Source organism: Homo sapiens, chromosome 4 (assembly GCF_000001405.40).
Source record: "Homo sapiens chromosome 4, GRCh38.p14 Primary Assembly".
In the NCBI taxonomy this organism is placed as follows: domain Eukaryota; kingdom Metazoa; phylum Chordata; class Mammalia; order Primates; family Hominidae; genus Homo; species Homo sapiens.
In genome coordinates, this window is record NC_000004.12 from 44,179,805 (window position 1) to 44,202,312 (window position 22,508).

A 22,508-nucleotide genomic window follows, 5' to 3' on the forward strand; every position below is an offset into this window, starting at 1 on the left:
TAGATTTAAATTGGGACTAAGATACAATAACTTAAACTGATTTAGCTGCTTTTTATGACATGAAATTGAGAAAAATTAATTAGGTAAATAATGATTACTCTAGTTGCCCAGTTTTCTTGTGGATGCCCGCTAATTGCAGGCTTCCAGGGATAATTTAAAACTTTAATTTTATATTATTTTATTCAGTGGCCCAAAGCCACTTGACATGCTTTAAGCACCACATGAATGATAATTTAAATATCACCAACTAGTGAATATATGGGAACAACATGACTATTAGAAATGTCTCTGTGTCTCTTCAACTAGTAATAGAATCAAATATATACCTGAAACATCTTCCTGAAAGCACTTTGCCCTGTGAGTTAGAGCACCCAATATACTTGGTTTAAAAAAGAAAATATAATTGTGTTTTGGTGATCTCATCAGCTAGGATTTCTTCCATCATATAAAGAACTCATCACCATTTATTGAAGTGTAAGCAACAGATTAGTGAATAAGCAAGTCTCATATTAACCTAAGATTTATCTGTAAAAAAAAAGAGTTAATTATTTTAAATAGTTAGATAAATAGGTACACCTAGAAACTTTCAAATATTGGAACAATTAATCAACTTTTCATTTGATTATTTGCTATTAAATAAACTAGGATATCCATCCAGGAATGCTCCATCCATTGAGCATTTGTAAATGGCAAGTACAGTCTTAACTAGGAGATCTGCAAACCAGCTACCTAGGTCATGCCTCTCCAATATTATTTTTGAAGAACAGTCAGTATACATACATGCACACACACACACACACACACACACACACACACTTAGATGCATTTATTATGCTGAAATTTTTTCATCACTAGGGGAATAACCTTGGAAGATCTGGGTTTGAGCCTGGTTCAGCCACTCCAACCAAGCAAGAACTTTGTGTTGGTCAGGTAACCTCTCTAATATTCGGTTCTTTTTGGTTAATATTTTGGGGTTGTCCCCTAAGTTCTTTTATGTTATAAGAGTCTGTAATTCTAAATGATATAATGAATAGGAGGAGATTTTCCAAGCTGTAAAATTCTGATCAAATATTAAGCATTAAAAGGTTACCATGAATAGAAATTACCACAGAACAAGGAAACAAATTCAATTACTACTATGGTATTTCAAAGAATTTTAGGGGTCAAGGATAATTTTCTGCAAGTTCACTGACAGTAAGTATAGTCCTAGAAAACATTATTAATTTATGTCTGTTTAATTACATCTATTCTTACTGGTGAATTGCCAGCAAAAAGAATGATACTTAAGGCCGCATAGTGCAGACTGTCTGGGTTCACATCTCAGTTTTAAAACCTACTAGATCCCTCTCCCTCTCCCTCTCCCTCTCCCCATGGTCTCCCTCTCCCTCTCTTTCCACGGTCTCCCTCTCCCTCTCTTTCCACGGTCTCCCTCTCCCTCTCTTTCCACGGTCTCCCTCTCCCTCTCTTTCCACCGTCTCCCTCTGATGCCGAGCCGAGGCTGGACTCTGCTGCTGCCATCTCTGCTTACTGCAACCTCCCTGCCTGGTTCTCCTGCCTCAGCCTGCCGAGTGCCTGCGATTGCAGGCGCGCACCACCACGCCTGACTGGTTTTCGTATTTTTTTGGTGGAGACGGGGTTTCGCTGTGTTGGCTGGGCTGGTCTCCAGCTCCTAACCGCGAGTGATCTGCCAGCCTCGGCCCCCCGAGGCGCCGGGATTGCAGACGGAGTCTCCTTCACTCAGTGCTCAATGTTGCCCAGGCTGGAGTGCAGTGGCGTGATCTCGGCTAGCTACAACCTCCACCTCCCAGCCGCCTGCCTTGGCCTCCCAAAGTGCCGAGATTGCAGCCTCTGCCCCGGCCGCCACCCCGTCTGGGAAGTGAGGACCCTCTCTGCCTGGCCGCCCATTGTCTGGGATGCCAGGAGCCCCTCTGCCCGGCTGCCCAGTCTGGGAAGTGAGGAGAGCCTCTTCCCGGCCGCCATCCCATCTAGGAAGTGAGGAGCGTCTCTGCCCGGCTGCCCATCGTCTGAGATGTGGGGAGCGCCTCTGCCCGGCCGCGACCCCGTCTGGGATGTGAGGAGCCCCTCCGCCTGGCAGCCGCCCCATCTGAGAAGTGAGGAGCCCCTCCACCCGGCAGCCGCCCCCTCTGAGAAGTGAGGAGCCCCTCCGCCCGGCAGCCGCCCCATCTGAGAAGTGAGGAGCCCCTCCGCCTGGCAGCTGCCCTGTCTGAGAAGTGAGGAGCCCCTCTGCCTGGCAGCCACCCCGTCTGAGAAGTGAGGAGCCCCTCCGCCCGACAGCCGCCCCGTCCGGGAGGAAGGTGGGGGGTCAGCCCCCGCCCGGCCAGCCGCCCCGTCCGAGAGGGAGGTGGGGGGGCGCCTCCGCCTGGCCGGCCGACCCGTCCGGGAGGTGGGGGGCACCTCTGCCCGGCCGCCCCTTCTGGGAAGTGAGGAGCCCCTCTGCCCGGCCACCACCCCATCTGGGCAGTGTACCCAACAGCTCATTGAGAACGGGCCATGATGAAGATGGCGGTTTTGTGGAATAGAAAAGGGGGAAAGGTGGGGAAAAGATAGAGAAATCAGGTTGTTGCTGTGTCTGTGTAGAAAGAAGTAGACATGGGAGACTTCACTTTGTTCTGTACTAAGAAAAATTCTTCTGCCTTGGGATTCCGTTGATCTATGACCTTACCCCCAACCATGCACTCTCTGAAACATGTGCTGTGTCCACTCAGGGTTAAATGGATTAAGGGCGGTGCAAGATGTGCTTTGTTAAACAGATGCTTGAAGGCAGCATGCTCGTTAAGAGTCATCAGCACTCCCTAATCTCAAGTAACCAGGGACACAAACACTGCGGAAGGCCACAGGGTCCTCTGCCTAGGAAAACCAGAGACCTTTGTTCACTTGTTTATGTGCTGACCTTCCCTCCACTATTGTCCTATGACCCTGCCAAATCCCCCTCTGCAAGAAACACCCAAGAATGATCAATAAAATAAAAAATAAATAAATAAATAAAAACCTACTAGATTTGTTATTCTAAGCAAGTTGCTTACTTTCCTTGGGCCTCAGTCTCCTCATGTTTAAACGTCAAATAGCTTTAGCTAGGATTAAATTACCTAACATATATATTAAGTACTTTAAAACAGTCTGGCATGTATAAATGCCGAAAAATGTTAATTACTATTATTCAATGTAAATATCCATGTGCTAATTGGCCATGACATGGTCAATTTGTTCACTTGAATACTGAGAGTACTGATTGGATAATTGTAATGTTTCCACACTGATTCTGGGTCTGCACGTAACACCTATGCACATATGAATTGCAGACAGGTCTCTTAGTTTCTTGTGTTCTTAAATTTTTATCTATTAAAAATGAAATTAAAATAGAAATATCTAGTCGCATGGCTATGGTAAGAAGCAAATGAGATAATATATGTGAATGCAATTTGTAAGCTGTAAAGTTCTATACAAAGTAAACTATTAGTTTATAGTCAAGAATCATCTATCACACATGTAGATTTGAGAGGCTATGAAATATTACATTTTTATGTTCAAAAGGGTATTTAAGAAAATAAAACACAAAGGCCCTGGTATAAGCTATCAAAAATGTGTGAATTAAGAGCAGTAGTAAAAAACATTATATTAAGTAAAATGTCACAAATAGAAAATATCACAATAGGCCCAAACTTGTAAAACTCAGCAAAACAGGGCTTTTGATCAATTCCCTTGGGCTTTATTATATTAAAATAGAAAAGTGGAAAAGATAGCTTTTCCCAGTCATTTGAATAGATAATGAGGTACAGAAACTAAATGTCAATATTTTTGTCTTTAAAAAGGCTGCATGATTTCTGGGTAGTTCTAGGTGTGGGGATGTTTTTAAGAGTATTTCTATATTTTTTCCTTGAATACACAAGCATTTCCAAACAAAGTCTATGTACACAGCTGCACATTTGAAAAAAAAAACTTTTCATTTTAATCTCTTTACCTGCCCAGTGATGATAAAACATGATAGGTATGTAAAATGTGTCTGCAACAGTCACAATTCCTAGAAGGGAAATTATCCTTTAATAGTACTAAACTCAATGATGTGTGAATGGTTATGTGGTACTTAAACAGAATGAACCAATCTATCTTAAATATTAGCACCACACGCTTCTAAATATTAAGCACTTGAGTCAAAAGGGAAAAACTCCATTTTGATTTCACAAACATTTACTGAGCACCTACTATATATAAGGCATAGTGTTAGCTACAAGGGTGGGGACACACACACATGTGCACACACACCTGCACAACCACAGTCCCTGATATCAAGTAGTTCAGGCTTGGGGTGACAAGTGCAGATGTAGCTAAAGTGTGAATAGGGCATGGATGAGGGAGCAAGGAGTAAAATAAAAAGAGGCTGATTTGTGATTGGAGTGAGCTAAGGAATGGGGTCATTTTTAATTAATCAGTAAAACTGCCATGCTACATTGAAACTTACAGGTCATAGAGGAGACGTCTTCATCTTAGAGTTGAAGACAAATGAATAAAATTAATTTATATGTGAGGAAAAATTGAACTCATTTATTTATGTTTTCTATAATTTCCATTAGCATTACTTAGCCACTTTTATGAGTGAAAGAGTATAACAAAAGAAAAGAAAAGAAAAGAAAAAGAAGAGTGACTTGAAAAGAGAAACATGGTCATATTCCTTTTTTCATCCTGACATGGTCATCCCCAACCCACTCTTCTGATACTCCCTGAACTTGTTAATTTTTATCATATTTACCTACTCATAGTGTGGCTCTCAGTCTTTAATTGTAAACTCCTCAAAAGCAGAAACTGTGCTTTTCTATTCTCTCATGGTGCCTTCATCAGAATAGTTGCTTAACAAAATTAGTAAAACTATTTTCATGCCTCTGAATTTGTATAGTATTTAATACTAATTACATCACTCACTTGGAAGTTAGCGTTTACCATCTTTCAGGTTAGTAAATATTCATTTTGATGTCCACAGAGTAGTAAGAATGCTCCCACCACCCACACATAAAAATTAGTCCCGAGGTCACACTTCTGGTGTCCCATATCCCTCAGAGTTTATAATTTCCATGAGGGCTTAGATGGCATGTATTACTCAGACAGTTCAGGAGGCTGATTTGTATTATCACTGATTAAACAATACTATAATAGTAATGTGCATAAGCAAATGTAATGCAGCATAAGAAAAGAAATATCAGAGAAAATATAATGTAGCATGAGAAAAGAAGTGCCACAGAAAATATATTTGTTTAGTGAGACATATATTAGAAGAGGTTTCCAAAAATAATTTTATTGCCTTTCTCTCATTCTACAAATCAGTATCTTCCTATGACTCAGTTATTTCCGTAAACCATGCGCACATTCACCTTTGGCTATCCAATGGATTTATCTCTTATTTTCAAACACTTGTCATGTCTTATCAATTCTACCATTACAGCAACTGTTGAATCTATCTATTCATCTCTGTTCCAATTTCCACCACCTATGACAGGTTTCTTATTATTTCTCATTATATTTCCTAACCAATTCTCTGACTCCACTTTAGTCCTACTTCAAACTATTCTCAATGCCATTGCTAAATATATATTCCTAAAACCTAATTCCATTAAGTATATCCTTGTTCAAAAACCTTCTAAATAGTTCCTCTAGCACATACGATAAAATTTGATTGTGACATCTTGGCTTTGGAGACTATCTTCAGTGTAACACAAATAACCCCAGCCCATATTTTAGTGCTCCCCATTTGGTGACTCCAATATACTTGTTTCTGGTGAATGCCTCGCTCTACCAATGCTGGCTTTTCTCTGGACTGCATTCTTTTCTTGCCCATGCCCCTTTTAGCTATTCTTCAAAGCCTAATCCGTATGTTGCTTTCAGCATAAAACTTCTCATTATCATATTTGGATGTAATTCCTTGTGATTTCCTGCTTTTTTTTTTTTAATAACCCATAGTTGTTTGTTTTAATCCATCTCAAGGTACTGAGCCTATTTTGTCTTAAATAATGGTTATTTCTGTACTCAGTTTAACTTTCATCCCTGTGTTCTGCCCCACCACACACACACAAACACACACACAAAACACATACACACTAATATAGTTAATACTGGAGCGGGACAGGGAAGTGCTGGGAGGAAAAGGGCGGGGTCCCTGGCGAGGTCTCCACCTTCGGGCCTGTGCCCACAGATCTAGGTAAAGACAGGCACCCCTGTTTTCGTAGCCAAATGTGCATTTTCCAAGACTACTCTGGCCTGTCACGCCCCAATCCTGGGCCTATAAAAACCCCAAGACCCTAGCCGGCACAGACACAAGAGGCTGGACATCGAGAAGAACACACTGGCAGAACAGCACACAGGTGGCGAGGAGCGAAAGAGCACACCGACAGGCACTGGCAGACGCCAGCAGGCCATCAACTGGGGGAGCGATGTGGCGGCGGCTGAGGGGAATTTGGTGGAAGCAGTCAGAGGAGAATTGCGTCGCCTTACTCCAGGCAAAAAACACCTTTCCACTGCATACCCCTGCTGGCTCCCCATCCATCTGCAGAGAGCTACTTCCAACACTCAGTAAAAACTTGCACTCATGCTCCAAGCCCACATGTAACCCAATTTTTCTGGTACACCAAGGCAAGAACACTGGGATACAGAAAGCCCTCTGTCCTTGCGATAAGGCAGAGGGTCTAATTGAGCTGATTAACACATGCCGCCTACAGATGGCAAAACTAAAAGAACACACTGTAACGTGCCCTCTGGGGCCTAAGGAGCTGTAAACATTCACCCCTAGACGCTGCTGTGGGGACGGAGCCCACACTCCCCACGACCTGCCCGTCTGCGTCCTCCCCCTAGGGGTTTTGAGCAGTGGGGCACCGAAGAAGTGAGTCACCCCCGCATCACATGCCCTGCCAGGGGGACAAGGGAATTTTTCCCGTTTCATAGTCACTTATGGGATAGAGAGTTTTTCCTTTTCGTCTTGGTATTTCCTGAAGCATCACCACATGGCTAGGCTCATAAGAATTCAGTAACCATTTATCTAACTGAATTAAATGAAATTAATATTATCTACAAAATATTGTCTAAGCACACAGGGGATTACTTTATTCCTAGAGAAGTTTCTTTTTGTTTTATTTTATTTTGTTTTAACCAAAATATATAAACCCAAGTGTAACTCAGCTTGAGGAGTGTAACTCAGCTTAAGGTGTGTAACAAAAGCAAAGAAATGGGGGGAGTCGAAGATAAACCATTTAGCAGTGAGTCATAAGAAGAGCCTCACAGTCTCTCTAGTTAATGAAAATATTCCTTTGGCAAAGTTCCTACCTTATCCCTTTTAGTTTATTAAAGAGAAATAAATTACTTGAGAACCACACATAATGTGGAAAAATAATTTTCTTTTTTCTGCAGAAGAACACTACCTCACTTACATGATTGCACCTCATGCTCGTAGTAGAAAACATATTAGGTGTTCATTTGTCCTCTCAGAAGCCTTTATCACATGCAAAGTTGTTACAGACACCTTGCAAGAGCTCTTCATTTAAAACTCATTTCTTCATTTCCCCCATGGAAGCTAGGATTCTATCCACATTCACCCTTCTCGTGCTTAAATCAAAAACAAAAACTCCACACAAAGATGCCTAGGCTCCTTTTGGAATCTGGAATGAAGCCTGCGGAACTACTCCCTGCTCCTTCCAAGGTTCCCACGTCTGAATCTACCATTCTTTATCACTGACATTGGCAAAGTTGTTTTTCACATGCCCAGGTAGCAACCTTCTAATGACCTTCTTTTTTACAAGTATATGTTTTATGAGAGGGATGATTTATTTGGTTTTCTAATTTGTGAACACAAGCCTATGCTTGCTTGTTTCACATCTATAAAATGTGGATCATAACACCTACAAGGTGCTTGGCAAGGATTAATGAGATGTTGTCTCTACAACATGTCTGGTGGCTCCGGGAGGGAAAAAGAAGGCACTCTGTTAATATAGGTTGGGGGTACACTTATGAGGGCTGTGTATAACAAATTTATATGAACATAAAACCACGCTGGTTGTAAATTATTGTCGCCTGTTATGCAATACTAAACAGCTGCCTTAGACCTGAGGAAAAATCTCTCAGTGACAATAAGGGAAGCAGAGGTTGTGGAAGAGGTAAACACACACACACACACACACACACACACACACATATATATATACATGCACACACAAAAAAAAAACAGTCTAACACTCTTGTGTTGCAGGAGCAGCAACAATTGCCAGCAGGAGCCATAGTTGAGTGGATTTTTATTTATTGGATCTCTTCAGATCTTAAGTGCCTGCCTGCCAATAAATGTTTTCAAGTATTTCCAACAATCCTCAGCCATATGCAACTTCTTGTAGCTGCCATACTATTGAATATGAGTGCCGCTTCTTTTCACTTTGAAATTTATAAAAGTGTGCCTGTTAAGGCAGCAGCTCGGTGCAGAATCATCATGATGAAGGAAAGATGAAGGCATATATGTGCATAGCAGGGTTTAATTTCATTTCATAGTACAATAAAAAAGTGCCCAGCTTTTGAATAGAGCAGAATTTTGCTTGATGTGAAGTTCTGACATGTATTAGCTAGGTGTCAAATGTGTCTTTAAGGTTCATTTTCCTATTCTGTCTAAAAAGGAATAGAAATACGGCACCTCCGTCCTAGGGTTACTTTAAGTCAAGATAAATGTGAGGAAGTCCTTTGTAGTAGGCTAAAAAGTGGTTCCATAAAAGATAGCAGGCCCGAATCCCTGGAACCTGTAAATGTCACTTTCCATGAAAAAGTCTTTGTAGAGGTAATTAAGGATTTCGAGATGGTGAAATTATTCTGGATTATCCCACTGGACCCTAAAGTCAATCAGTGGTATCCTTACAAGAGGGAGGTAGTGAGAGATCTGATACTTACAGAGGAGAAGGGGGCAATGTGTCCATGGAATCAGAGGTTGGAGTGATGCAGCTACAAATCCTGGAATGTCAGCTGCCATCAGAAACAAGCAACAAATTTTTCCCTAGAACTTCTCGAGATAGTGTAGCCCTGCTGACACCTTAATTTTAGCCTAGTGAAACTGACTTCAGACTCTGGAGTCTGTGAGAGAATAAATTTCTGGTTTTGTAAGTCACCAAGCTTATGGCAATTTGTCATAGTAGCCAATAGAAACAAATACAAGTGATTTAGTGTAATTCCTGGCCCTTGGTAGATATTGAGTTATGTCATCTTATATAAGTGAACATAATATTGTCCTTAATAACTGGATGATATTGGATCTGAATTGTAGAATCTTAACTGTTCTATTAAAATAAAATATTTTGCAGGCTCTATCGAATTATCTTCCTGTTTCTTTAAGCTCCTATAGTAGTGATAAGCCCAGAATATTGTACTGCAAATCATTCTACTTTGTGGGTATCCCTAATGTTAAAAAATTCCTATACTCAGCCATAATTTGTCTCCTCAAATACTGCCATTCACTAAATCTATTTCTACCTTCTGGAGCAACATAGAATGAATCTATTCCCTGCTTTCAACTAAAGGTCCTTAATATTTTGGAAAACAATTATCATATCTAGTCAAAGTTCTCTCCAATTATATAGATCAACCATTATTGGAATAACGAGGTTAATCCCTGCTTTCAACTAAAGGTCCTTAATATTTTGGAAAACAATTATCATATCTAGTCAAAGTTCTCTCCAATTATATAGATCAACCATTATTGGAATAACGAGGTTAATAGGGATAGCCACTTCACCTTATCTCTGTTCCCATAAGACTCCATTTTCTCTTTCTACAAACATTCAAACATAGCCACCCATCTACCCATTCCAACATACATGCACACACACACACAATCACAGAACTGTCTCTCTCTATAGCCGACTCTACACACATTTCCAGAACCTGATCATTCCTTGTCATTCTAGTCTCATGTTTTTACTGCCTTTGGACATCGTCTAAACTTCAAAAAAATCATGTCAAAAAATAACTTCATTATTCTTTTTCTCTTAAACCAGTTCCTCCTCTTATGCTTTCTATTTTCCTATTTTTATAGAAGCACCACAGTCTTCTTAATTACCCAGGTTTCAAATCTCAGAGTCATTTTCGCTATTCCAATTTCTACCCCTCTACTGATTCCCTCCCCCAGCAAACAGTTATCTAGTCCTCTTGATACTTTGATAATACCTCAATCATTTTCCTCACCTTCAGTCTTCACTCTCATGGTTTTGATCCCCATTAACTCTTACTGAATCAACTGTAATAACCTTCTAGAAATCCTTTCATCTCTAATCTTTATATCCTTTTATCCATACTAAACAAAGATGTCAGCAACATTGCACTGAAACATAGCTCTTATTATAGCACCTGTTCTCAGAAAACCTGAATGGCTTTCAGAAACATATCCAAATCTTTTAGCTCCACAGACAAGACTTTCCTCCCCCTAGTTCCAGCTTAAAGTCCACACTTCATTTTCTATTACTCTCACCCTTCATTCAAGTCAAATTGGAGAAATTAATATTAGCCTAAATATCACATGCATTCCTGTCTTTAATTCTTCACCTATGTGAATGATAGGTTGACATCTGTTTATAATGATACTTGTTTAGATGGAGTAAATTTCTTATTGGCTGTGTTGGTATGTGTGTCTGAGAATATAGGTGGTGCTCTATCTATCTTATATGACAGACCCTAATCGCCAGGCTAAAGTACTATATTTATAACCTAGACTTGGCCAATCATAATGCCCTACCAAATCAGCCCCCTAATCTACAGTAACGATGAGGGTTGCAAGGTAAATAATCTGGGTGACTCAATAACATGAAATCTCTGGAATACTTCAAACTGTTCATGAGGGGAAAGAATGAGAATGCCCTTACATCTTTGGCCAAAAAGCTCTCAGATATGACTGTAGGGGACTAAGTCCCCCAATCCCAACTACAGTAGGGGAGAATGAGAGCTGAAAGGGAATCCTAACAGTATTTGGATGTCTGGTTCAGTGATTCCTATGATCAACTCCACTGTTGGACAAGTATTTTAGACCAAATAAAATAAACATTTTATAAAACAAATTTATCTTATAAATGTAGGTATTTTATTAGATGCAAATACCCTTGAAATATAACAGACCTCTCTTCCTGAAACAAGTTGAGTGATGTGCTGTTTGTATTTGTTATTGGAGAACTCTAACACTTAATGCTGTTGTGGGAAGTCAGGGACCCTGAATGGAGGGACCGGCTGGAGCCGTGGCAGAGGAACAAAAATTGTGAAGATTTCATGGACATATATCAGTTCCTAAAATTAATACTTTTGTAATTTCTTATGCCTGTCTTTACTGCAATCTCTGAACATAAATTGTGAAGATTTCATGGAAATGTATTGCTTCTCTATTAATATTTTTATAATTTCTTATACCTGTCTTACTTTAATCTCTTAATCCTGTTATCTTTGTAAGCTGAGGATGTTTGTCACCTCAGGACCCTGTGATGATTGTGTTAACTGTACAAATTGATTGTAAAACATGTGTGTTTGAACAATATGAAATCAGTGCAACTTGAAAAATAACAGAATAACAACGATTTTAAGGAACAAGGGAAGATAACCATAAGGTCTGACTGCCTATGGGGTCGGGCAAAAAGAGCCATATTTTTCTTCTTGCAGAGAGCCTATAAATGGATGTGCAAGTAGGAGAGATAGTGCTAAATTCTTTTACTAGCAAGGAATATTAAATATTAAGACCCTAGGAAAAGAATTGTATTCCTGGGAGGAGGTCTATAAACAGCCTCTCTGGGAGTGTCTGTCCTATGAGGTTGAGATAAGGACTGAGATAAGCCCTGGTCTCCTGCAGTACCCTCAGGCTTATTAGGGTGGGGAAAAAATCCCGCCCTGGTAAATTTGAGGTCAGATGAGTTCTCTGCTCTTGAACCCTGTTTTCTGTTGTTTAAGATGTTTATCAAGACAATATGTGCACAGCTGAACGTAGACCCTCATCAGTAATTCTAATTTTGCCCTTTGCCTTGTGATCTTTGCTTTCGTCCTTACCTTGTTTTCTCAAAAGCATGGGATCTTTGTTCTCCCTTTTGCCATTTGAAGCATGTGATCTTTGTGACCTAATCCCTGTTCATACACCCCCTCCCTTTTTGAAATCCCTAATAAAAATTGCTGGTTTTGTGGCTCAGGTGGGCATCACGGATCTACCGATATGTGATGTCACCCCTGGCGGCCCAGCTGTAAAATTCCCCTCTTTGTACTCTTTCCCTTTATTTCTCAGACTGGCCGACACTTAGGGAAAATAGAATATGCATTGAAATATTGGGGGCGGGTTCCCCCGATAAATGCTTAATGCATAAACTAAATTTTTAATGCACATTTCTAGTTACTGACCAAAGAAATTGGAGAAATTTGGAGAAAATCAGACAAAAACAAATCTAATCATTGTGTATTTATGAGCAAATTATTATGACAGCAATATAAACAATTAAAAGAGTCCTAGAAATTTACTGTTATATTACTAACAGGGTCATGTGCCCACATTCTTTAAGGCTAGGATGGGTATTATTTAGCCTATTATTACTGGCCTAGACTGAGCTCCTCATCCACTCGTATGTCCTGAGGGGAAAAAAAAAATCTATCTCAAACAGTGGATGGGGTGCAAGGTAAGCAAAGATACACACACACACACACACACACACACACACACACACACACAGAACTGATAAATAATTATGCAAGTGTGGTTAAACATAGAAATCACTATGTTTTGTAGTAAAGTAAGTTTTTCATACCATCCTTCAGCAACATGTCACTATGTGTCACCTTTTCCTGTATAGCCACTTGTGATGGTTAATACGAATGCCAACTTGATTGGATTGAAGGATGTAAAGTATAGATCCTGGGTGTGTCTGTGAGGGTGTTGCCAAAGGAGATTAACATTTGAGTCAGTGAAATGGGAGAGGTACACCCACCCACAATCCAGGTGGGCATCATCTAATCAGCTGCCAGCATAGCCAGAATAAAAGGAGGCAGAAGAATACGGAGAGATTAGACTGGCTTAGCCTCCCAGCCTACGTCTTTCTTCCATGCTGGATTGGATGCTTCCTGTCCTTGAACATCAGACTCCAAGTTCTTCAGCTTTGGGACTCAGACTGGCTTCCTTGCTCTTCAGCTTGCAGACAGCCTATCATGAGACCCTGTGATCGTGTGAGATAATACTTCTTAATAAACACCCCTTTATATATACATCTATACAATTAGTTCTGTCCCTCTAGAGAACCCTGACTAATACACCACTAGTTGAAAAAGATAATAAGCTGAGATAAACAAACCTAGTAATAAAATAAGTACAATTTTACTTAGTTTATATTTTAACAAGTAAAGTTATAATATTTAATATTTATTGAATACTTATGGATCAGGTACCATGCTTTATACATAGCATCTCATTTACATCTCATAATAACTTCATAAAGTAGAGGCCTCTCATGTTTATTTTACACATTAGGAAGTGGAGGTTTAGAGACGTTATGAAACTTGACAGGTCATATTTGGAAGAGGCAGAGGCAGATGTAGATCTGTCTGACTTTAGAGCTGATGCTGAGTTAAGCTCTGAGATACATATGCTGCCACAAAAATCCTGAAAATGGTGTTAAAACCAGCTTTCTTTAAATTCTAAGTTAGAGATATAATTACTCATAATTTCAAGCCCTTAAGGATTAAACTAAGATGCATATCTGAACATTTGGGGATAAAAATGTGCTTAACTATACTTGAGTATTATCATTTATTTAGATAGTTTGCCATATAACATTATTTTATTTTACATCTAGGTATTTTAACAAAAAAAAAAAAATTAAAGGCTACACATATGAAAATGTAGACATTGCTTTCTAACTCAGTTCATTGTGACCTTTACTGGGACCGAGGCTTTTTAACCAAGCAATGTCTATTTATCAAATGTAAGGGTTTTTGTTGTTGTTGTTGTTGTTTCACTGTTAGGTTGCAATATCCTCTGACATGCATATTTCTGTGAATTCAGACCAATAAAAAGGCTGTTTTATATTAATTACAAGAAACATTATAAGAAGCAACTATGGTTAAAAGGAAAATTATATATTTAAAATGTAAATCCTACAGTAAAATTTACAGAGTGAAATTAGGAAAATAGATGAGATGTAGAGGGAATATAACAGAGAAAGAATAGAGAGGATGAATCCTAAGACTATTCTTAGGACTATCTTAGAACCCATGACTTGTCAGGTACCATAATTTCCAAAATATCAAAATTATATTTGTATGAGAAGATACATTTAAGACCAAACTTTTCAATGATATGCAGCACATGATCCAGAAAGGTTCTGACATAAGGCCAGAAATTTCTGCTAAGAGTTTTCAGACCCTAATTAAATAATGAGCAGATTCTGTCAGTGTTGAGATGCCTTGAACTTTTCCTGTCACTTTATAGTGCACTTTAGTCTAAACCTGATATTTCAATAACCCCATTAACATCAATCTTCTTTTCTGACATTAAAGCCTTACAGATTAAAAGTAAAAGATCATGAAATGCTACTAATGAAACCATTATAAGGTAAAAAGATGTACTGGTAACACCTTCTATGTAGATCAATGGAAATGTTATGTCAGGGGTAAATTTGCACTGGAAATACTTTTGGAAAAGCATACTTAATTATGAGCTATATTAATGGTTATTCATTAAAATCTTGGAGGTAGAGAAAAACAGAGTATGCTTCTGGTATGACTCATGTGACTCATAACTTTCCTTGAAGTGCTGAGAACACAGAATTCACAGAGATGAATATTTTCCTTTGACTTCATGTGGTTCAGTGAAAGTAATCGGGGTGCCTACTCTTTGTTCACTTTATAAAAATTACTTAAAATAATTATGTGCTACTTGAATGAAAAATTCAAATATTTTCTCTCTCCCTTCCCTCCCTCCCTCCCTCCCACCCTCCCCCCTTCCCTCCCTCCCTCCCTCCCTCCCTCCCTCCCTCCCTTCCTTCCTTCCTTCCTTCCTTCCCTCTTTCCTTTCACTCTCTCTCTTTTTTTTTTGGATGGAGTTTCATTCTTGTTGCCCAGGCTGGAGTGCAATAGTGCAATCTTGGCTCACTGCAACCTCTACCTCCTGGGTTGAAGTGATTCTCCTGCCTTAGCCTCCCAAGTAGCTGGGATTACAGGCATGTACCACCACGCCAGGCTAATTTTTGTATTTCTAATTTTTGTATTTTTTATTTTTAGTACAGACGGGGTTTCACCATGTTGGTCAGGCTGATCTTGAACTCCTGACCTTAGGTGATCCACCCACCTCGGCCTCCCAAAGTGCTGGGATTACAGGTATGAGCCACTGTGCCTACCTAAATACATACTTTTTTTTTTTGAATAAAAATTTATATAACATGGAACTAAACTAGAACTATAATTATCCAATTATAAGGATTGATTAGTAAAGACTCCTAATTAAGAATTATGATTTACAATATAGTTAATTTCAATACAATTGTAGCTGTATATTGGCATTAGAGAATTACAAAATAAAACCCAACAACATTAACCGATGACTAGGGACTCATACTCCTTTGCTTGAATAGTCAGCTTTTCTGTTTGCTTTTAATGTGCTGTGACATATTTTGCAAGTGAAACTGTAAGGTTAAGAGGAAAGATCATACAGAAGACCAAGAAGATTCTGATTTTGTAGATCAAAGAGCAAATGAGAATTGCTGATGTTTGTTTTTTATTGGTTTCGTTCTACTGATTTTTCTTTTTTGTTTATAATAGCAATGATATGCATATAACTAGAAAAAACTTTATAATTAAAATCTTTAGTATTATGTGTCCAAATTGCTCCACCTTTTAACTACTTTATTAATAACAAATAGAGTATTTTATATGCAATTTTTGGTAACAATTTGAAAAGTTACTAACACTCTAGAACCAAGATCCTGACTATTACAACAGGGGAGGTAAGAGGGCTGAGAGGAAGTAACAGCATACTAAGGATATTGTCTTGTTGAAAAGGAGAATATAGATGCTGGTTAATTCTATTGGAAAATATGTAAAGCTTGTGTTAATTTTTAAACTACCTACTAGAATAATAAAAATACAAGGCATACATAGTCAAATAGTTAAAAGTAAAAAGGTAAAATGGAACAAAGTGATTGAACAATAAAACAAATATTAAAAGTTTATATAAGATAAGCATGTTACATTAATACTAAGTAAAGGGAAAGTAAGGGTGGGGGCACTAACAGCCCTCTAGAGGCCACATCCTTTGTGCCAACTAGAACTTGCTTGAATGCAGAAAGAAAGCAATTACATTCTAAGAAACGCAAATGACAAAGCAATACTATCATACTCTTTCTTACTCATCATTATGGTGAAAATGATGGCACTGAAAGAAAGAGAAAGATAGAGAAATCCATAGTTCTTTTTCACACTCCTTCTTTACCTACCAGTAAGCCAAATGTAAAGAGTTTTAGTAGAATGTACACATATGAAGAAGTAGAATACAAATAAAATGTTAATTTTGTACAATCTTTTACTTTTCTGGTAAGACACGATATGCAAGGGAATACAAATTGTGTAATTTTGGTGATTCTACACACAGATTAAATGCTCTTATATTTGCATTTAAAACCTTTCTTGGAGAAGGGGGTTCAAGATAGCAGACTGGAAGCAACTTGTGTGCACCCGCTCTCATGAAGAAGAAACAAAGTTGGGAGTAAATACTGACTCTTCAGGTGAATTGTCTAAAAAACCATGTCAGGATCCATCAAAGGAGTAAGAGAACACACGAAGAACAGAGAAGAGTAAAACTGGGCAGCCACCCACCTGGGACCAGTGCAGAGCCAGAAGAAGCTTCCTAATACAGGGAAAGGGTGAGAGAGGAAGAGCTCCCAGGGAATCCACACTTCCCACAAGGATCTGTGAAATCTTGGGAACGAGAGAACCCCCTCCTTTCCTGGGCCTCTAGACTGATATGGAGAGCCACACAGAGATTTTGCAGAGGCAACACTCAAGAATACAGGGAATCCCACAGGTCTGGATCCCTGAATAGCCTAGTATCTGCTGCCATAACACCAACAGAGGCCACAGTTGGGATGCTGGGGAGCAGTCAGACTGCCTCACTCCTTGCCAGACAAGACTCCACTCTTGCTTCCAGCACAGTGACTGAGCTGCTCCTAGCCAGGTGGAACTTGCTAGCTTGGGCTTCCAGCTCAGTGACCCTACCCCTGCCTGAATACTGTGGTCAGGCACAGCTCTGTGTTCCCCCGGAAAACATGCAGATGGCAAACTGTGTGACTCCCTGAACTCCTGATGCTCTTGGCCTGACAGGACTCATTGGTTTGGGTAATGTCCAAGCAGGAGAGAAGGCCCCACTCTCAGAACACCAAGAGTGACAAGAAGCCCAGGTTCATAGGCCAGCAGAGGAGGAGGGTATGCCTCCCTCCACAGGGCAAGTCCAGGAAGTGTACAGCCTTCCTAACACAGACCCCTGGCCCCTGCCTGAGGGAGCCCCACAGCCTGGAACAAGTGAAAAAGGAAATGCAGGAACAGCAACAGTAATCAAAAGGGGTTCCTCCAAGGCCCAGGAGCAGATCTGGGGAGGGGGTCATATCTCTCTCCCCCAACCACCGAGTATGTCTATGAACATGCTAAAATACAAAAGAGCCAATCTGCTGGCCATCATGCTTAAGCAATATCTATTGAATAGCAGCTCAAATTAGAAAACCAATAATAATTTGCCATGATACAGCACCTGTGAAACATAAGGCAAAAATTAGGCCACAAATAAAGATCCTGTACAGAGCCTTGGCCTTCTGAAAGTGCACAGAAACAAAACCAACTGACTAAAATTACACCACGGTAAAAGGAACACCAGCCCTCTCAGATGGGAAAAAATCAGCCTAAGAATTCTGGCATTCAAAAAGCCAGTGTGTCCCCCTAACCTCCAAAGGAACACACTATTATTCCAGCAATGGTTTTTAACCAGACTGAAATGACTTAAATAACAGACACAGAATTCAGAATCTGGATGTCAAGGAAGCTCATCACAAGCCAGGAGGTGAAACCCAATCCAAGGAATCCAGAAAAATAATCCAAGAGCTGAAATAAGAAATAGCTATTTGAAGAAATAATTAAACTGAACTTCTGGAATTGAAGAATTCACTTAAAAAATTCATAATACAGTCAGAAGCATTAACAACAGATTAGACCAAACCCAGGAAAGAATCTCAGAGCTCAAAGACTGGTTCTTCAAATCAACTCAGTCAGACAAAAGTAAAGAAAAATGAATTAAAAAAAATAAACAAAACCTCTGAGAAATATGGGACTATGTAAAAAGACCAAATCTATAACTCACTGGCATCCCTGGGAGAGATAGAGAGTGAATAAGCAATCTGAAAAACATATTTGAGTGTATAGTCTATGAAAATTTCCCCAATCTTGCTAGAGAGGTAAACATGCAATTTTAAGAAATATAGAGAACCCCAGTTAGATACTATACAAGGTGACCATCCCTATAGCATATAGTCATCAGACTCACTAAGACAAATGCAAAAGAAAAAAATTCTTAAAGGCAGATATAGAGAAAGATTGGGTTACTTACAAAGGGAAACTCATGAGGCTAGCAGCAGACCTCTCAGCAGAAACCTCACAAGTCAGAAGAAATTGGGGGCATATTTTCAGCATCCTCAAAGAAAAGAAATTCCAACCAAAAATTTCATATCCCACCAAGCTAAGCTTCATAAGAGAAGGAGAAATAAAATCTTTCTCAGACAAACAAACACTAAAGGAATGTGTTACCACCAGACCAGCCTTACAAGAGGTCCTTAAGGAAATGATAAACATAAAAACAAAAGATCAATACTTGCTACCACAAAAACACACTAAGGACATAGCTCACAGACAACTTAAAGTGATTACACAAACAAGTCTACAAAACAACCAGGTTACAAGATGATGACAGGATCAAAATATCACATATCAATACTAACCCTGAATACCAATGATCCAAATGCCCCATTTAAAAGGCATAAAGTGGCAAGCTGGATAAAAAGACAAGACCCAACAGTCGCTGTCTTCAAAAAACCCATCTCACATGTAATGACGACTCTAAGTAAAGACATGGAGAAAGAGCTACCAGGCAAACAGAAAACTAAAAAAGAGCAGGAGTTGCTCATCTTATATTGAATAAAACAGACTTTAAATCAACAACAATCATGAGGGACAAAGAAGGGCATTATATAATAAAAAAAGGTTCACTTCAACTAGAAGACTTAACTATCATAAAGATATATACACCCAACAGTGGAGCACCCAGATTCACAAAACAAGTTCTTTTTGACTACAAAAAGACATGGACAACCACACAATAATAGTAAGGTACTGTAACACCCCACTGATAGCTTTAGACAAATCATCAAGGCAGAAAACTAACAAAGAAATTTTGGACTTACACTTGACACTCAACCATTTGGACCAAATAGATACCTATAGAATACTCTACCCCCAACCCAAACCACAGAATATATATTCTTCTCATGTACACTTAGAACGTATTCAAAAATCAACCACATGTTCGGCCATATAGCAAGTCTGAGTAAATTCAAAAAAACTGAAATCATACCAAGCATACCCTTGGACCACAGGGCAATAAAAATGTACATCAATACCAATAAGACCTCTCAAAACTACACTAATATGTGGAAATTAATCAACTTGCTCCAGAATAACTCTTGGGTGAATGACAAAATTAGGCATAGATCAAAACATTTTTTGAAATTAAAGAAATTAAAGATACAACTTCCCAAAACCTTTGGTGCAGCCAAAGCAATGTTAAGATGAAAGTTTATAGTATTAAATGCCTTCATCAAGTAGTTAGAAAAGTCTCAAATTAATGATTTAACATCACACCTAGAGGAACTAGAAAACAAAAGAACAAACCAACTGTAAATCTAGCAGGAAAAAAGAAATATCTAAAACCAGAGAAGAACTGAATGAAACTGAGATGCAAAAGACCATACAAAAGATCAATGAAACCGAGACTTGATTATCAAAGGAACAGACAAGACTGATAAACCACTAGCTAGATTAACAGAGAAAGAAAAAAGAGAAGACCCAAATAAATGCAATCAGAAATCATGAAGATGACATTACAATTGATTAGACAGAAATAAAAAAAGATCCTGAAAGGGTACTGTAAACACCTCTGTGCACACAAACTAGAAAATTTAGAGGAAATAGACAAATTCCTGGAAATATACAAGCTCCCAAGATTGAAACAGGAAGAAAGTGAAAACCTGAACGGATTGATAACAAGTTCTGAAATTGAATGTTATAATAAAAAAAAAAACCTATCAAGAAAAATGTCCTGGACAAGATGTATTTACAGCCATATTCTACCAGATAGATAAATGAGAACTGGTACCAATCATACTGAAACTATTCCAAAATACCAAGAAGGAGGGGCTCCTCCCTAACATATTCTATGAAGCCAGTATCATCCTGACATGAAAATCTGGCAGACACAATGAAAAAAAAAAACTACAGGCCAATATTCCTGATAAACACTGACACAAAAATCCTCAACACAATACTAGCAAACAGAATCCAGCAGCACAATAACAAGTTAATACACCACAATCAAGTAGGCTTTATCTCCGGGATGCAAGAGTGCTTCAACATAAATAAATCAATAAATGTGATTCACCACATAAACAGAATTAAAAGCAAATACAGTATGATCATCCCAATAGATGTAGAAAAGGCTTCAGTAAAATCCAACATCCCTTCATGATAAAAACCATCAACAGGCTAGGCATTGAAGAAACATACCTCAAAATCATAAGAGGCATCTATGACAAACTGAGAATGAACATCATACTGAACAGGCAAAAGCTTAAATCATTGCCCTTGAGACCTAGAATAAGACAAGGATGTCCATTCTCAACATTCCTATTCCACATAGTACTGAAAGTCCTAACCAGAGCAATCAGGTAAGAGAAAAAAGTAAAATGCATCCAAACAGGAAAAGAATTAGTTAAACACTCTCTCTCTTTGCTGATGATATGATCTATACAGAGAAATCACTAAAGACTCTGCCAAAAGGCTCCTGAAACTGATAAACAACTTCAATAAAGTTTCAGGATACAAAATTAGTGTACAAAAATCAATGGCATTGTTATGCATCAATAATGACCAGGCTGAGAGTCAAATAAAGAACATAATCCCATTTACAATAGCCACAAAGAAAATGAAAAACCTAGGAATACAGCTAACCAAGAAGGTGAAAGATCTCTACAAGGAGAACTGCAAAATACTGCTGAAAAAAATCAGAGATGACACAAATAAATGGATAAACCTTCCATGCTTATGGATTTGAAGAAACAATATTGTTAAAATGGCCATGCTGTCCAAAGCAATTTACAAATTCAATTATATTATATCAAACTACCAATATCATTTTTCACAGAATTAGGAAAAAGGATTCTAAAATTCATATGGAACCAAAAAAGAGCCTAAATATCCAAAGCAATTCAAAGCAAAAAGAACAAAGATGGAGGTATCACATTACCCATTTTCAAAGTATACCATAAGGCTATAATAACCAAAACAGCATGGTACTGGTACAAAAATAGACACAGACCAATAGAACAAAATAGAAAACTCAGAAATAAAGCCACATACTTACAATTATTGATCTTACACAAGGCCCACAAAAACAAGCAAGGAGAAAGGACTCCCCATTCAATAAACGATGTTGGGATAACTGGCTAATTACATGGAGAATTACATTGGACTCTACCTTTCCCCATATATGAAAATTAACTCAAGATGGATTAAAGATTTTAATGTAAGACCCCAGACTATTAAAATCTTAGAAGATAACCTAGGAAATACCCTTCTTGATATAAGCTTTGGCAACAAATTTTTTAAGGCCCCCAAAGCAACTACAACAAAAATAAAATTGACAGTGTGACCTAATCAAACTAAAGATCTTTTGCACAGAAAAAGTAACTATTACTAGAGTAAACAGTCTATGGAATAGGATAAAATACTCACAAACTATGCATCTGACAGAAGTCTAAAGTCCAGAATCTACAAGGAACTTTAAACAAATCAACAAGCAAAAACCAAATAACTGCTTTAAAGAATGGCCAAAGGACATGAACACATACTTCTGGAAAGAAGATGTATTGGTGGCCAGCATATGAAAAAATACCCAACATTACTAATCATCAAAGACAAGTCAATCAAAACCACAATGAGATACAGTCTTATATTAGTCAGAATGGTGATTATTGAAAAGTTAAAAAAAAACAGATGCTAATGAGGCTGTGGAGAAAAAGGGAATACGTGTACACTGTTGGCAGTAATGCATATTAGGTCAGCCACTGTAGAAGGCAGTTTGGAGATCTCTCAAACTACTTAAAACACAGCTCCCATTAAATCTAAAAGTTCCATTTCTGGGGATAATAAATTGTTCTAACAAA

The 22,508-nt window shown here is 38.6% G+C and overlaps 1 protein-coding gene across 2 annotated transcripts in view, besides 2 other annotated features; it reads right to left on the bottom strand.

The window, feature by feature from the left end:
* KCTD8 (potassium channel tetramerization domain containing 8) overlaps positions 1-22,508 on the bottom strand; it is a 274,907-nt gene that overhangs the window by 5,902 nt on the left and 246,497 nt on the right. The gene's annotated exons all lie outside the window — the stretch shown is intronic.
* Positions 1,649-2,353: an enhancer, noted in NCBI's record as "H3K27ac hESC enhancer chr4:44183470-44184174 (GRCh37/hg19 assembly coordinates)". NCBI's record gives its function as "activates a minimal SCP1, AML or CMV promoter by ChIP-STARR-seq in naive H9 embryonic stem cells {active_cell/tissue: H9 hESC(naive)}" and the evidence as "EXISTENCE:reporter gene assay evidence [ECO:0000049][PMID:30033119]".
* Positions 2,354-3,058: an enhancer, noted in NCBI's record as "NANOG-H3K27ac hESC enhancer chr4:44184175-44184879 (GRCh37/hg19 assembly coordinates)". NCBI's record gives its function as "activates a minimal SCP1, AML or CMV promoter by ChIP-STARR-seq in primed H9 embryonic stem cells {active_cell/tissue: H9 hESC(primed)}" and the evidence as "EXISTENCE:reporter gene assay evidence [ECO:0000049][PMID:30033119]".